General features: G+C 47.9%; 1 long non-coding RNA gene across 7 annotated transcripts in view, besides 3 other annotated features; it reads left to right on the top strand.

Moving 5' to 3' along the window:
* COPS8-DT (COPS8 divergent transcript) overlaps positions 1-16,560 on the top strand; it is a 175,051-nt gene that overhangs the window by 102,082 nt on the left and 56,409 nt on the right. For 2 of the 7 annotated variants that reach the window (NR_187935.1, NR_187940.1), the window contains exon 2: positions 3,673-3,810. The exons of the other annotated variants lie outside the window; for them this stretch is intronic. This is a non-coding gene — a long non-coding RNA (COPS8 divergent transcript). The remainder of the gene's footprint in view (positions 1-3,672; positions 3,811-16,560) is intronic. 7 annotated transcript variants of the gene reach the window in all.
* Positions 14,611-15,110: an enhancer, noted in NCBI's record as "H3K4me1 hESC enhancer chr2:237877273-237877772 (GRCh37/hg19 assembly coordinates)". NCBI's record gives its function as "activates a minimal SCP1, AML or CMV promoter by ChIP-STARR-seq in primed H9 embryonic stem cells {active_cell/tissue: H9 hESC(primed)}" and the evidence as "EXISTENCE:reporter gene assay evidence [ECO:0000049][PMID:30033119]".
* Positions 15,340-15,634: a silencer, noted in NCBI's record as "tiled region #9900; K562 Repressive non-DNase unmatched - State 22:ReprW". NCBI's record gives its function as "weakly represses a minimal TATA promoter and a strong SV40 promoter by Sharpr-MPRA in K562 cells {active_cell/tissue: K562}" and the evidence as "EXISTENCE:reporter gene assay evidence [ECO:0000049][PMID:27701403]".
* Positions 15,340-15,634: an enhancer, noted in NCBI's record as "tiled region #9900; HepG2 Activating DNase matched - State 1:Tss". NCBI's record gives its function as "activates a minimal TATA promoter and a strong SV40 promoter by Sharpr-MPRA in HepG2 cells {active_cell/tissue: HepG2}" and the evidence as "EXISTENCE:reporter gene assay evidence [ECO:0000049][PMID:27701403]".

Below are 16,560 nucleotides of genomic sequence, written 5' to 3'. Positions count from 1 at the left end.
GTGGCTGGGGAGGTCTCACAATCATGGTGGAATGTTAACAACACATCTCACATGGTGGCAGACAAGAGAAGAGAGCTTGTGCAGGGAAACTCCCCTTTTGAAAACCATCAGATCTCATGAGATTTATTCACTATCAAGAGAAAAGCATGGGAAAGACCTGCCCCCGTGATTCAATTATCTCCCACTGGGTCCCTCCTACAACACACGGAAATTCAAGATGGGATTTAACAATTTTTTTAATCAATAAAATGCTAATGCAACTGATATTGATTAGTGTGTTGCATTTGGCCACTCTTTGTGATACACTTACTCAAGTAGCCCAAAAGTACAATAGCTCCTGGCATTCTTGATCATATGTAGCCCCCTCCTACACTGTCTCCAGACTTGGCCATGTGACCAGCTTCAACAAATTGGACGCCAGCAAGTGTGGTGTAAGTGGAGGTTTAATAAGCTTTTGCACACTGAGTTTGTTTTCTTGGAATGCCCCTTCTTGGAACCTGGCCACCATGCTGTGAGGAAGCCCAAGCAGCCATCTGGAAATGCCTATGTAAAGTTCCCACTTCTTATGTGCGGATAAGCATGCCAACCTTGTGAACTGTAGAGGTGATTAAGTGAGTTAATATACATAGGTGGACACACAGTGAAAGGCAGGCCCTAGCTGCTGACCTTGACCAAAAAGATTTCATTTCATTTCTACAAACTCATACATTTCCTTCTTCCACACTGCTCAAAGTTTGCCTTTTCTAGGAAGCTATTTGGTACTTCTTAATCCTGCTCTATCAGTCTGCACAGGCTGCACAATTCAACACAGGAGTATTTGGTCTGTGCTCTGGGGCTGGGCAATACTTTAACTAGTGAGTCATTGCATTATATGGCACTGAGAAGCAGTTGTACCCTTATCTCATCTGGGCTTCACCACAGTGCTATATGAATTGGGCAGAGTAGACACTATCATGTCCATTTCAAAGATGACAGAACTGATGCATGGAGGGCTGCCGTTCCCTGGCTGGCCCTATGAGAGGAGTGGTGGGATCTGGAGCTGGGCCTTCCCCTTCTCCAGCTGTCTTGTACCCCAAGGAAGGATCTGGTGCTTCATCTCCTTGGAATCTCCTCTCAGGCATCTGCTCTTCCTGGACCCACCAAGACACTCCAGTGCTCTCACCAAAGCTGAACAGGACTTTGCTCAATAAAGCTTCTCGATTATGATACTAATAATGCAGCATTGATAATGGATAGATAGGACACTCTGCTGTGAATCAGAGGGATGGGTTGTCTCCACATTCACTGAAGAAGGTGCTTCATCATCTGCGCAGGTGTCAATCTTTAAGCACAGCCTGAATGCCACCTGCTGTTGCTGCTTCTGCTGACTGCTGCCTACTGGCCACTGGTTCTGTGGGCTCTGTGGTACAGAGATGGAAACATCCTTTCTCCACTGGGGCGTCTCATTGTGACCAGGACTAAGACAGGGAAACAACCAGAGGATAGTGGGATCAGAGCTGTTGACGGCACACACAGGATGCTGTGCAAATCCACAGATGAGAAGCTGGGTGAACTATGTGATGATGTTCATCTTCATTTTGCCTTCCAAGATCCCCCAGGAGAAGGAAGCAAGGATACACCTAGCAAGATCCATAGATGCTCTCCAAAACATGTTTATCTCACCTACTTTTCCATTCCCATTGAGGTGGTCCAGGCCCAAGGCCTGTAACCCCCAGCCAGAGTGCGGTGCCCTCCCCAGCCTGGCTGCCTCCTCCAGCCCTGCACTTCCCCTGCACTGGCACATGGCTGCCAGCCTGGCCTCCAGCACAGTCTACTCTTCCCACAGCCTCCTCCACAGGCTGTCACAGCTCCTGCAGCCTTCAGCAGCATTTCCCTACTTTTTTCTCACTGCAAAGCTACATTTGGCCCCAAAGTGTCTTGGCAACATGACCTCACAGGGAACAGAGGCAGCTGATACAGATTTGTTTCTTTGATCAGGCTTTAGCCTAAGCTTGATGTAGTCAGGAAAACCCTCTCTGGGCTGGTGGCCTGGGGCCACATGGGCACTGCACTGTCTTCCTTCAAACTATGGGTGCTCACATGGGGGAACATTCCAGGCATTTGCTTCCCGTGTTAAACAGGACCGTCTACAAAGGCAATGGTGGTGTCTATCCTGTTCACCATGACAGGCTGCATTGAGCAGAGGATGGGGCCCGTGGCTGGTGTTTCCTAGGGGGCAGCTATCCAGCTACTGGTTCCAAGATGATTCTCTGCATTTGGAGGTCTCTGTCCAGGACATTCAGGCTCCCCTGTGTCAGATTTTATGCTAGAAGCAAAAGGAAATTCAAACAGGTTTGAAATGACAGGTTGGTGGCTTATAGGTTGGTGGAGGAGACAGACTTTATTAACAAGAGCTTCAAGTCTGGGCTCCTGTGTGCCCCTGCAGAGCACGAGGCCATCTCTCATGCTGGGGTGCCTCTCTACCACCATTGCCCCATGCAGCAACTCCTTCACTGGCATTTTCTGTGACTATTCTGAGTAAGTTTGTTGAAGCTAGTATTTGTTGAACACTCATCTGAGTCAGACACTGTACAGGCAGTTTCATGCCCGATCCATACAAGAGCTCCAGGTCAGAGGAAAGAAGGTGAGAGTTGGAGATGTGAAGTCACTTGTCTAACTAATGTCCAGCAGAGAGAAAATGGGAGAGGCTGCAATGGAGAAAGGTCTGTGTGATGCTGCGACCAAATATGCTTCAGTTACAGAGAACAGAGTCATGCTTGCCAGTTTAGATAGGGATTTACCTCTGTTACAAAATTGATAACAGAATCATTGAGGAGCTGAAGAATGATCCTAGGTGAGCCTCCAGGACCAACTATGACGCCACAGAAGTAGGCTGTTAAGGAAACTGCCTGTCGAGTGGGGCCCCCAAGATGTCATTGCTGCCTCCAGAATGCTGCCCTCCACCCACTGAACTCAGTTCTGAATGCAAGTCTTAAACAGTGTTTCTAATTGGCATGAGATCAATTGCAACCAGAATCTTGGCTATAAGGATATCTGGGAAGTAGTGTTTTTAGCTCTCTAGCCTCTGTAGAGCAAAAAGGCACATTCAATAGAGTCGGAGAAAAGAAATCTTGGGCAAGGTAAGTCAGAGGTAGCCTCAAATATCAGTCCAACATTAAATGGTGATTGTGTGTGTGTATGTATGTGTCTGGTGTGGTGTGAGTTTGGGTGGGGTGGGGGTGATCGTGTGTGTGCACTCTCTCTACCCTCCTTCCATGCATATGCATCCAGGAGAAAGGGGTCCACCTTCCCTCCTTCTGGCGCATGCCCCCGTATTTCATCTTATCTAAAGATCTTTGTATCCTGCCAACCTTCTGACTGTGGGGGCCACTGCTCACTGCCTATCCCGAAGGCATTCTCTACTTCCTTACTTCAAACACCCAATATACACTCTCCCTTTTTCCTGGTGACAGAAGGCCAGTGTATCTCAGAATGTGTCCAGGACCTCTTGCAGCTCAGGATAGACTTACAAAATAGTTCTGGCCAAGAAGATTTAAGTAGAAGTTTAAAAGGTGAAGCTTATAGAAAAGCTATTGCTTTCCTAATTAAAAGGGACCGTTAGCTTGCATTTCCTTTTGATTTTTGTCCTTTCCTATTCGTTCTTACTACCTGGAAATGTAACATGTTGCCTAGAGGTGGAGCACCTATCCAGTGAGGCTGTGAGGAAGGCCTTATACCAAGAATAGGAGAAAGCTAGAAGGAGCCCATACCTCTGACTGCCCTTGACTGCCCACGCAAGAACTCATGCTGGAAAAACAAAGCCCTGTTTAGGTAAGCTCGTGTGTGTTTAATTTTCTGTTTTTCTGATACTGATGAACCCCAAAGAGTCTTCCCTGAACTCAATGTTTGTATACTTAGTTCCATGGCCTAATGGAATTTCAGGGTCAAAACAGGGTTTAGAGATCACTTAGCTATAGTCATATACTGCCTTGTAGATTATTAGCATTCGATGTATATGTGTCTAGTCTACATGGTTAGTATTAAGCTCTCTGAGGATGGAAATTACATGCACATTTAAATGTTTGTGTTAAAAATGTTTCTCAAAACCTTGCTAAGTGAATGAATCCACAGAACCCTTGGCAATGTTTCTGGAGAACTTATTTTTGAAAGTACACGGATTATATGAAAAATTTGGGGAGGATAGAAAGAAAAAGAAAAATCTTATGGAAAGGTTAAATTTTGAAACTCTTTCTTGAATTGTTAAAATAAAATCCTTAGCCAAATTAAATTTAACAGAGTTTATTTTATTTTATTTTATTTTTGAGATGGAGTTTTGCTCTTGTCACCCAGGCTGGAGTGCAGTGGTGTGATCTCGGCTCACCGCAACCTCTGCCTCCCAAGTTCGAGGATTCTCCTGGCCCAGCCTCCCAATTAGCTGGGATTACAAGCATGCACCACCACCTCTGGCTAATACTTTGTCTTTTTAGTACAGACTGGGTTTCACCACGTGGGCGAGGCTGGTCTCGATCTCCTGGCCTCAAGTGATCCTCCCACCTCAGCCTCCCAAAGTGCGGCGGTTACAGGCACGAGCTACAGCGCCCGGCCTAAATTTAACAGAGTTTAATTGAGCAAAGAATGATTCATAAATCAGGTAGCCTCCAGAGCCAGAGTAGGCTCAGAGAGTCCAGCACAGCTAGGTGGTGGAAGATGATTTATAGACAGAACAAAGGAAAGTGATGTACAGAAGATGGAAGTGAGGTACAGAACTGGCCAGATTGGTTACAGCTCAGCATTTGCCTTATTTGAACACAGTCCAAAGAGTTGACCACCATAGATTGGGCAAAACTCAGTGATTGGCACAAGAGTAGGTTACAGTCTGTTTGCACTTCCATTTAGGTTATAGCTCACGATGTACAGAGAAACCTTAGGCCAAACTTAAAATATTGGCTGGTGACATTACTTTTAATGGCAAAAACTGCAATTACTTTTGCACCAACTTTTGCACCAATAGGTAAGGAGGCAGTTTTAGGCTAAAGTCAATTTAACAGATTTATTCTGAAAACTTGCTTTATCTGTTGCCACATAAAAAACAACCTCCAGGCTGGGCGTGGTGGCTCACGCCTGTAATCCCAGCACTTTGGGAGGCCGAGGCGGGCAGATCACTTGGGGTGGGGAGTTCGAGACCAGCCTGACCAACATGCAGAAACCCCATTGCTACTAAAAAATACAAAATTAGCCAGGTGCAGTGGCGCCTGCCTGTAATCCCAGCTACTCAGGCTGAGGCAGGAGAATCACTTGAACCCGGGGGGGCAGAGGTTGTGGTGAGCCAAGATCACGCCATTGCACTCCAGCCCAGGTAACAAGAGCGAAACTCCATCTGAAAAACAAAACAAAACAAAAAATCAATCTCAAAATGTAGCAGATTCAAACAACCATGGTTTTATTTGTTCTTGATTTTCTGGGGCTAGAATTTGGGATGATGTTTCTTCTGCTTCACGCAGGTTGGCTGGGATAATTCACTCGGCTGCATTCAGCTGGTGCCTGGGCTTGGCTGGGAGGCCAAGAAGGCTTCACTCACAAGCCCGCCCGTGTGTGCTCCTGCTTCTGCCAACTTCTATTGGTCAAAAAGGTTGCAGGACCTGCCTGAATTCAAGGGAAGGGGAAATAGACTCTTCTTAAGGAGAGACAGCAAAGCCACAATACAAAAGAACATGTGTGATGGCAGAGAGTGCTGTCACCATCTCTGGAGACAAATCTACCACTCTAACTTTCACTTCTTTACAAGCTGAGATTACCCTGCAAATTGGAATTTTTATATGTGAGGAAAAATTAATATTTATAGGATCCCTACCATATGCTGAGTGCTGTGCTAACTACTTTCACGTAGAATTTCTCCTTTGCTGCGACCTATATTTTCTGTAGACCTAATCTCTGGGTTCATTTGAACCATCTGCTGATGGAAAGGCAGTAGCTCATAGCTGGTCCGTCCATAAAGGAGGATGCATGACAATTCCGACAGGTGGAACCTCTCTAGCTTCCTTCCACACGCAAGAACAACCCTAAACTTGTTCTCTTTGTCCCTGGGGATCACGGGATACCGACTTGCATTCCTAAAACAGCTCATATCACACTGTTGTTCATTTGGCCTCCCAGGGGATGGAGGCTTATCTCTTTAGAGATTCTGTTATTATTGAAAAGAAATCATTTCTATGACTCTGGGTATCCAACTAAAACTTGTACAAACAGAAGATATTGGATGGGCAGCTCCCTGGCAACTCCCTCCTATTCAACTGTAATACGCCCTCCTCCAGCTATTCAGAAACTACAAACTAAGGCGGTAGCCCCATGATGTCTGTATAAGAACTGATGACAGGCACACCCAGAGGCTTACAGGGTGTTTGTACGGAACATCAGCCCTGCGGGACCTTCCTGATTTATCCCTTTTGAAACTCTTGACTGTGCTTCAAAAGTAAAGAATAAAACAATAACCTGCCTGTGTACCACAGGGCAACTCTACTGCAGTAAAAACAGCAGAGGCAGGGAAATTGCATCCACCAGAAATTAACCTGCAGTCAGAGGAGAGTTGTGACATCAGCAGAGTTGGTGTCTCTGGAGTCAAAAGGGAAAGTTCTGGGACCTTCTAGCAGGGAGGTCGTGGAAAAGGCAGGAGCGGCCCCAGATTTCTAATAGGGGCAATTTGCTTTTAAATGTTGTAGACACTTTAAGAGTAGTGTAGGGATTTCAAACGTTTATTAGGCAAATGAGGAAAGAGAGGCCCAAGTGGGTGAGGCAACTTGACCAGGGTCAGTGAGCTGGAGTGTGGCAGAGCAGCTTCTGGACCCCAAGTTTCCTCATCTCCAGCCCAGCCCTCTTTCCAAATACACCCTTCCTCCAACCCTGACTTTTCTGCCCAACTAATCTTTACCAAGTGACCCTGAAGTGGTGAAGGGGAAAATTCCACTTGGTCAGAGCGTGGAGAACAAGGAGGAGGGGGAAGGGAAGGGACAAGGTCAGGGGTTTCTGAGGGATCTTTAGGCAGCCTCAAGCTGGAAGGTGTGTGTGGTGGGCAGGGGAGGTCTCTCTAACACCTCCTACCTCTCCTGATAGCAATAGAGGAGGAAAGGAGTCATTCCTGGCCAGATCGAGGGAGGCCTGCAGCAGCCGGGCCTTCAGGGACGCAGCCGTGTCTAGTGGTTGGAATCTGGTCTCCCATCAAACTGACACAGAAAGACAGAAAAGTCTCTTTGACTGTGAGGTCCTGGTGAGGACACATCTGTGTGAACTTGAGCAACCCAGGGAAGAGGAAGACAGTGGAAAATAGTGCCTGGAAGACAAAGAGAAGAGAATAGAGGCCAGTCGTTAGTCACAATTATTGCAAAAGATCATTGTTCATCTGAAATCACCTCCCTCTTAAATGCAGGTTGGGGCATTTATGAGTGAATTTGTACGTGTGAATATTGCAGAAATAGACAGCTAAGGGCAGAATTCCCCTTGGCCTTGTCTTTGGGACTGTGCTTTAGCAGAAAAGAAAAGAAACAAAAGAGAGCCACGATTGGTTTGTAACTCAAAGGATAAAGGCTAGAGGGGATGGATACCTCATTCTCCACGGTGTGCTTGTTTCACACTGCATAGCTGTATCAAAACATTCACATAATCCATAAATATATATACGCACTATGTACCCACAAAAATTAAAAACTAAAAATGAAAAGGAGAACAACAACAAAACCCCAAAGAGAGCTACTTCCTCTGCATTAGAAATACATAGGAAACTCAGTGTCGAGAGAGAGTGAGGAGAGGGAAAGCGGAGGAGGAAAGAACAGGAAGGAGATCCTGAGACGCACACTCAAGCTTTGGGGTTAACTGAAGGGCTTTTTAACTAAAGGAAGATCTGACATTAAGATGCCAGGAATGCTGGCCCAGACCCCTTTCTGGCTCCTAAATATTCAGTAGGATCTGTGCTGCCCCTACCAGCCTTGAGGATTTTTTTAAAGGGTAGGTTAGGTGGGGTGGACAGAAGGGAAAGAGGTAGAGTCTCACTCTGGCTAAACTTGGTGAGAGGGAGAGAGGGTCTGCTGGACAGTAAGATGCTTCTTCAACTGGATTGATTCAATGGACTCAGGGCTTGGCTTGGGAGCTCCTAGGAATGACCCATCGTTTGAGGAGCTCACTCGTAGGGGAGGGAAGGTCAAGTCAATGTCATCTCCAGCCTAAGAGCCGAGGAACCCCAAATGATGTATTGTTTTGTAGATTGATATGGTTCATTTAGTAATGATAGTTCTAGAACTTTCTACCCATCTTTTGGTGGTCCTGAGGTCCAGGGCTGTGCTTACAGAGACCTTAGCCTGGACAAGTCTTGGCTGGATAGACACTCCTTGCACCAAGAGGCAGGAATTCTATATTAATTCTGTTCTAAACAGCCTTGTGCCTGGAGTGCCTTTGTAACCACCCAGCAGGTTCTTCCTGCCTGCTGTACAAAGAAAATCTACTCACTGAGATTGGTACAGATCCCATGAGTGGAGGAACACCAGGGTTCTTCATCTCACGTTGAATTAGATAAAATGACATGGACACACATGGAGTGGTTTTAAGGAGCAGAGAGTTTAATAGGCAAGAATGAAGGAAGAAGCTCCCCCATACAGAGACAGAGGGAGGGGTGCTCCAAAGCCGAGAGAGGAAACCCTGTGTGCAGCGGAAATGTGTCTGCTTACGTGAGGAAGCTGGAGAAGGTGGTGCCTGATTTGCGTAGGGCTCAGGGGATTGGTTTGACCAGGTAGGTCACTCACGTAGCCCGTGAAAAAACTGGTCCTCCTGCTCTAGCCTTTTAATATGCAAATGCAGGGTGCCATGATGTTCTACACGTGTGGGCATAAAAGGGGGCGGCCATGCTGTCAGGCACATGTGGGGGCAAGGGCAAGAAGAAGAGAGGGGGAATCTCCATGTTTGGGGGTACCCAGTTTCTAATGGCCTGCATTTGCATATCAAAGGTTGCCAGCCCAGCTCTAAGACCAGGGGCTTTCCTGCCAGACAAGAAAACTTTTCTGGAACTGCTTTAAAAGAAACAAAAACTTTCCAAGGACCCCTTTTCCTCTCTATCTGCCTAAAATAATTTCTTAATAACTCCTATAATAAGATCACAGCATTGCAGTAAAGAAAGAGTTTAATTGATGTGAGGCCAGCCCGGCCACCCCACATGGGAGATGGAGTTATTACTCAAATCAGTCTCCATGAAGGCTTGGAGGCTAGGGATTTTTCAAAGATAGTTTGGTGGGCAGGGGGCTGGAGTAGGGGGCAGGCTGATTAGTTGGGTTGGAGATGCAGTCATAGGGAATAGAAGCTGTCCTTTTGTGCTGAGTCAGTTCCTGGGTGAGGGCCATAGGATTGGTTGGCAGGTCCAGGTGGGGGTCATCAGTGTGTCAGAAATGCAAAAACCTAAAAAGACATCTCAAAAGGCCAATCATAGGTTCTGCAATAGTGATGTTATCTGCAAGAGTAATTGGGGAAGTTGCAAGTCTTATGACCTTTGGAATAATGGCTGGTAATTATTTAGAATTCAAGCCCTTCTCATCCTCCTAACTTGGTGGTCTTTCATTAGTTTTACAAGAACTGATGAGACCTAGAACTAATGAAACCAAGAACCCTAACCCTAAGTTGAGTTTAGGGGAAGGGCTATCATTATTTAAACTGGAAACCAAATTTCTCCCAAATTAGTTTGGCCCACGCCCAAGAATGAGCAAAGACATCCAGCCAGTGAGGCTAGAGGCAAGATGGAGTCAGGCATGTCATATTTCTCTCACTGGCATAATTTTGCAAAGGTGGTTTCACCTTCCCCACTCCCAGCATTCTCTCTGTCGCTCCCCTCCCTCCCCGCAGACACTTATGTAATTCTGTTGTGAAGTTTCCGAAATCCTACCGTCAGCTGAAGAATGACAAGGTTCATGCATTTGGAAAGGAGAGCTTTATTTCTCCTAAAGGGTTGTATCCTGCAGGGTGGCCATTCTGATAGGCTGGGAAGCAGAGCCTCCGGCCAGAAGCTGGAAACAGGCACTTTGAGGGTGGAGAAAATAAGACAGGAATTTATGCTGAAGCAGGTGGCCAAATATACATATTCAATAAGTATAAGAGGAGTCATGAATATTTATGAAATATTTATCCCCTGGCTGCCCCTTGCTGAAAAGACTGGGAGAGTGAGCATTTAGCTCTTTCAGTCTCCTCTTGGAGTCAGGAAAAAGAGAAGTGATTTGGGAATGGACGTTAGGTTTGCCAAACCAGAGTCCACTATCCCTTCCCAGATTGATCCCAAGGCACTGTGGCCATATGGCCAAGATCAGAAGGAAACAGACAGAGATTCAAATGCATACGTGCACAAGCTCACACACATGTGACAACACAACCTCTCAACCATGAAGCAAGTTTAAAAGAAAAAGGGTTCTTTTCCTTTACCACCCTCAGCTTGCTTTCTGATTTGGGAAAAAGCCACAGCCTCTCAACTTGGAGGTTTTCCAGCCCGTTACCCAAATAGAAAAGAATAATGCTATGAAAATAAAGCCAGGTGGACGTGGCAAGGTGAGCACCAGGGGCCAAACCTATGATCTTCTATTGATTCGGAAACAAACCTCAGAGTGTGGCATGAAGAATAATCATGATAATGAAATAATAGCTGTGTTGTAAGAATGCAAAGTTGGATGCTAACATTTGTCTGAGATCATGAAGAAGAGGAATGGGAAGTTCATGACATCTGTGAAGTTAGTGACTAAGGCTGTATGGTAAGGAAAGACCTTGGGGATTTCAGTGAAATTCTGAATTCAAAGAGCATGATGAATGTGGGGTGGGGCTGTGAGGCAGACAGCAGAGAAACCTGAGAGCAGATGAGGCTGGGAGGAGGAGCTGCCCCCGGTCAGGAGGAGGGAGGGCCCGGCTCGGGGAATTCTGTGGGCAGAGTCCAGGGATCTGCTGGTTACAGTCGTGATGGATATGCCATGACCTTCGTACCAGGAGGGGCTGAGCTGGGGCAGTGCACAGGCAGCGGCTTCCTCAGTGACCCCAGAACTTGGAAGAAAGGCAGCGGTCTCCAGGGGAGGTTGGTGGTGAAGCCAAACTAGAAGTGCTAGGAGAGTGAGAAAAGCCAGGTCGGTCTCCAAACATACAGCACCCTCAATGCACAGAGATGTTGCCCTCAAAGACCCTTGTCCTGCTGTGAAATGCCTTGCACCCTCCAGGGCTGCTGGCTGAGTGCTGAGGGAAGTGTCCCAAAGAAGGGAAATGTCAAGAAAACAGGGTCCCGGGGAAGCCTCCATTGTTGTTTGGCAAATGGCCCATCCTTTGGGGGACAAAAGGATGAAATAAGGGAAGCAGCAACAGGTCAGGCCCACAGCCTCCTGCTCGGCTCACCCTGAGCCAGCCTTGGTGATAAGAAGGCAGAGGTGGCGATGGTATCTGATGCATCTGACCCCATAGACATGCGGTCGAGGTGGTCCCGAGGCCCCTGGAGGCCCCACCATGTGGAGTTGGGAAAGAAAACGGGCAGGAGGCAGATGTTTTTGACTCAGGACTGGGTTTCGTCAGCCTCGGCGTGAGCCCATCCTGGGCTGGTGGGCTGGCAAAAAAGAAACCGGGTTTTGAGGCAAGAGCTAACTCCAGGACCTCAATGTTGGAACACAAAAAACCCCTTCCTAGCTGGTAACGCTCAGCCCTCATTTCCTGCCACCACACACATTCTGCCCCGGGAAACGCACGTTATAGGAAAGAATGCTTTCGGGCAGTATCGGGGAGAGGAGGGGGGCGGATCGGCTGAAACGCGAGCATGAGTTGGAATCACAGGTGCAGAGTTTGTGCCCCTTCCTCCTGGGAACGCCTCTGTCCCTGGACTCAGCCCCCTGCCCTGGCTCCTGGTTGCTCAGGGCTCCGTCCATAATCTAACACATAATAATGGGCTCTTTTAAATGGCCTTACCCATATGTTTATTTTACAAGGTACTTTCTGAGCAAAACTTAGCTGTACAGCTTTTATATCAAGTTGACCTCCTCCACTTCTCACTCGAGGGCACCGAAGTGAAGTAACTGCGTGGTGACTGATGCAAGACGCTGCTCAGACGTGGGCTACTTCCTCAAGGAGTAGTCCATGCAGGGAGCGAGGAGATTTTGTTACATCTGCCCAGATGAAAACATTCATTGTCACCCAATTCTGGGCCTCTTCTGCCAGATGTGCTGATCTGTCTCCCACATTATCCATCTGCTTAGCTGATGGCAGCCCACGCTCGCTCCAGAGCACAGAGTTTTGTGTCCTAAATGATCGGGAGCAGGCATGGAGGTGAGCTTATCCATCATCAAACACACCGCCACACTTCCAGTCCTGTGATAGTCAGCCCGGGGGCTTGGCAGATAAAAGGTTTGTAAGTGTAGGAACTTTCAGCAGCAACAACAACAAAATGAGGAAAAAGCTGTAAATAGAAAATGGAGTTCCCAGTCGGAGCCCAGGCAGCCAGGAGCTGCAGCCTGCCGGATTAGGTCCTATGAGCAGCTGCCCCGGGGTTTGGAAGTCAGTCTCCCCTTCCAGAAAGAGAGTGTAAGAACATACATGTGGAAACTCTCCTTTTGCTAACTCGGGTTTGACTTTTAAGTCACCAGGTGTAAAGGTGATGGTATGCTTTTGTGAGATTTCAGAACCTAGTGGGTAGTGGGTCATTGGAGATGCTGATTGCTCTTTCTTCTAAGTGCCAAATGACCTGCTGGGAGTGTGTGCTGGTCAGTCTGATGTGCACCAACGTGGGCAGACCTGTCCAGGGTGGGTTTGCTCTCAGGCTAGAATGACTGCTCCAGCCCCAGCCTTTGCATCCTACTCAGTCCTGTGCCAGGTACTGGGAATACACAGAAAAGTAAGAAAAAGTTTCTGTCTTCCAGAAGCTCAGTTTGGAGGAGTGTTTTGCAATCTTTTATGTGCACTGGAATCCCCTGGGGATCTTGTTCAAATGCAGAATCTGATTCATTAGGCCTATTAGGTCTGAGATTGTGAATTGTGAACAAGCTCCCAGGTGATGCTGATGATGCTGGTCCGTGGACCACGATTTGAGTAGCCAAGGTTAGAGCAATGGTTCTGAAGGGTGGTCCCCAAGAAGCAGCTGCAGCCAAGAGCTCCATATTAGAAATACGAATTCTCAGGTATCTCCCAAGACCTACAAAATCAGAATCTCTGGGAGTGTGGCCCACCAATCTGTGCTTTAATCAGCCCTTTGGTGATTCAGATGTGCCAGCTCACCACCTGGTTACAGTAGTGATTAGCTTAGCTGGACTAAAAAGGGAGGTGGCCTGAACTAGTATCAGAGCTGGCTCTTAAGGACACATAGGAGAAACCAGGCAGACAGAGAAGGCTGTGCAAAGGCCCGGAGAGGAAGTTGGAGGTGTCTGGAGAGAGACAGCCCAGGAAAGAGGCTGAGAATCACCCAGAAAACCCTTGAAGGCCACTGTTTGCAGACGCAGAGCTTTGCTCAGCCATTGGCCCTTCGAGGTTGAGCCTCGCAGGGAGTCTGCCTCCCACCTCCCCACGCTCAGCTGTGGTTAAGCTGGTTCACCTTCCTGAAGAGAAAGGCTGCTGATACTGAAAACGATTTCCAGTCTGATAAAATCGAGATGGCGCCCAGAACTCACTTTTCACTCCAGGAGAGTCAAGGCTGTGGAGACCTAGTAATTATTGGTTCCTATAGGAGCCAAGGCAGGAAAGAACTAAATTGGAGAGAGTGACGGGGAGAAAGGTGAGGGGTCGGGGGGAGAGCGCCTGAGGACCTCGTCTGTGGTTAGCATTCTAAGTGTAGTTGTAAAGAACGGAGGATGGTTCCTGTTGACATTTGTGGTTTCTGTCGGCCTGAATCTTTTAGACATTTTTCACCAAATTATCCCCAACGGTGGTGCATGTGTGTGTGTGATCCCAGGAGCTGGAGGAGTGGCTGGGGGGCAGCCAGCGAGAAGCTGAAGTTGTCTCAATTTTGTCTTTAAAAATGTGTGTGTCTGTATTTTTGTTTTAATATAATCAATGGCTCAATGCTTAGTGAAATAAATAATTCTGTGATCCTAGGGTTTCATCCCAGGCAGTGTGCATCTCGTCCTCTGAAAAGCAGAGGGGCAGGCTTTAGAAAGGCATTGTCTTCTAGGGAGGTGGAATTTCCATGGAGGGGACATTTTAGAGGAAGAACTATTAATAAATCAACCATCTGTGTGGTGAGCACACAGGGGTTGGGGTGAAGGGAGGGTGCTTGGGGTGTCCTTTGACATGAGGCTGTGGCAAGCAGCTCTTTTTAGTTAGTGTCCCAACAAGTCCCAACTCATAGTCCCACCCAGGAAGGGTGGGCGGGAGGCCCAAGGCAGGTGGAAAGCAGGTAAGGCAGGCACAGCTACGGGAGCCACAGCTGGTGCTCAGACACACACTCAAACCCACGCTAGCCTAAGAGCATGCTCAGGGCCTCTGGAGGGGCTGCGGTGCTGGAAGGGGGCTCTGTTACTTGAGAATTGAGCAGTAAGATGAACTCTTTGAATTCAGTCCTCAGGGCATGTCTCCTCTGCCCGAGCCTGGAGCCAAATCGGGGAGGGTGGGCTCTTGGGGAATGTACTAGGTTAACTCATTAGAAGGCCCCAGAAGACACATCGGACTCAAGCCCAGTATTTTGCAAATGTGCACATTTGGTCAGAAGGATCAGGCACAATCTGTAAGAAAACGGCATTCATCCAGGGGTTTCCACTGGCAGAGCCACCTCGTGTTTGTACTCTGGTGTCAGCATCTCCTCCTTCCTAAACCCTTCCCCCAATCAGTTTCTGCAGTAACACTGCAGCGCCAGATGCACCTTATTTCTAAAGCCCCATAAATGTCTAAAAGGTGGGGCATAGAAACTGATTTTCAAAACGTTCTTCTTTGCAAGCAGAATTGTAGGTAAGCACCAATACCTGGGAGAGATAAGAGGAACTTTCTGATGCTGCAGGGCAGTGGGCCCCTTCCACCACGCAGAGTCAGACACAGTGGCAGCCCTAGTCTGTCTTTACCAGGACAAATGGGCACCGTGGGATGGGAAGGCCCATAGGAGTGGGGAGGTGGTTCAGGACATGCAGTTGACATGGGTGAGGCTGACTCACCCGGAGGGGTCCCAGTTCCAGGAAGGGTGCCCAGCCCAGGAATGAAGGCACTGGAGCCCTCCGGAACCAGGTCTGGATCCCTGACCCCCAGGCCAGCCTTGCTTCGGGTGGACAGATGCCCTTCAGGAGCTGCCCAAATGCTGACAGCCAGGCTTTGGAAGGACACAGATTTCCAGAGCAAACCTTCCTCCTTCTGACCCTCTCAACCCTGGGCTCAAGGAGAGGTCTTCTGTCACTAAAAACGTATGTTCATTTAAAACAGATGGGGACTTTGGACTTTCTGGAAATGGATTTATAGGTTTCCGTTTGGCCCCACCTCTCTGAAAGCCAGGCTCCAGTGGGGTCACCCATCTTCCTTCCTGGGAGGGGCCTGAGGCCCTGGGGGTTACATTTTAACAGACACAGGGTGAGCATTTAACAACGCACTTCCTGACCTTGGTGACGTTCAGCAGAGCACAGGGAGCAGAAAAGTGTTTGATCAAAACTTGTCCTATTGCTGCATTGTTACTGAAACTGATGGAACACAGGTTCTGAACCTAAAAAAAAAAAAAAAAATCAGAGGCAAAGTCCCTCACCACAAGTTCCTATGTTCCCAGGTCGTTACTGCTGAAGAAGGCTGATTGCCTTTGTGGTTCCCACACTTTAGCCTGCGTTAGAATCGTCTGTGGGACTTGTTAACTCAAGGCCCCCCCCGCCGCCTTAGAGTTTCTGATTCAGAGGGTCTGGGGTGGGCCTGAGAATCTGCATTACTAACAAATTCCCAGATGAGGTGGAGTGATGCTCCAGCGACCACAGTGAGAACCACAACTCTACAGCCAGCGCTCCAGCACTCCGTGCCCCATGCTGCCATTTTCTTACTGGATCATGTTTACATCACTCTTTCCCAAGACAACCTTTCTCTTATGCAGCGCAGGCAGACTGGGAGGCTGGGGCTGGTTCTGCAGGCCAGTGTCATTCCTGAGCCCACGTCCTAAAATGGGAATCGGCATCTCAGACAGGCTCCAGCTCTGTCCAAATGCTCCAAGATGCCTCATGAGAGCACTGTCCAACACTGGTCAACCAGGCTGTGCCATTCACACCTCCTATGCCAGTTGGAAATGCCATTGAGATGAGCATCAGCCAGGAGGAGAGAGGCCATCGTCCAGCCGTCAGAAGTGTGTGAACCAGAGGAACTCCATCTTGAATAGGAGCTGGTACAATGAGGCTGAAACCTACTGGGCTGCATTCCCAGATGGTTACGGCATTCTAAGTCACAGGATGAGACAGGAGGTCAGCACAAAATACAGGTCATAAAGACCTTGATGATAAAACAGGTTGCAGTAAAGAAGCTGGCCCAAACCCATCAAAACTAAGATAGTGATAAGAGTGACCTCTAGTTGGCTCACTGCTACACTCTCAGCAGCACATGACAGTTTACAAATGTCGTGGCAATGACAGGAAGTTACCCTATATGGTCTAAAAAGGG

This window comes from Homo sapiens, chromosome 2 (genome assembly GCF_000001405.40).
Source record: "Homo sapiens chromosome 2, GRCh38.p14 Primary Assembly".
In the NCBI taxonomy this organism is placed as follows: domain Eukaryota; kingdom Metazoa; phylum Chordata; class Mammalia; order Primates; family Hominidae; genus Homo; species Homo sapiens.
Note: the sequence above shows the minus strand (reverse complement) of the source record. Positions and strands in the feature narration are given on the sequence as shown.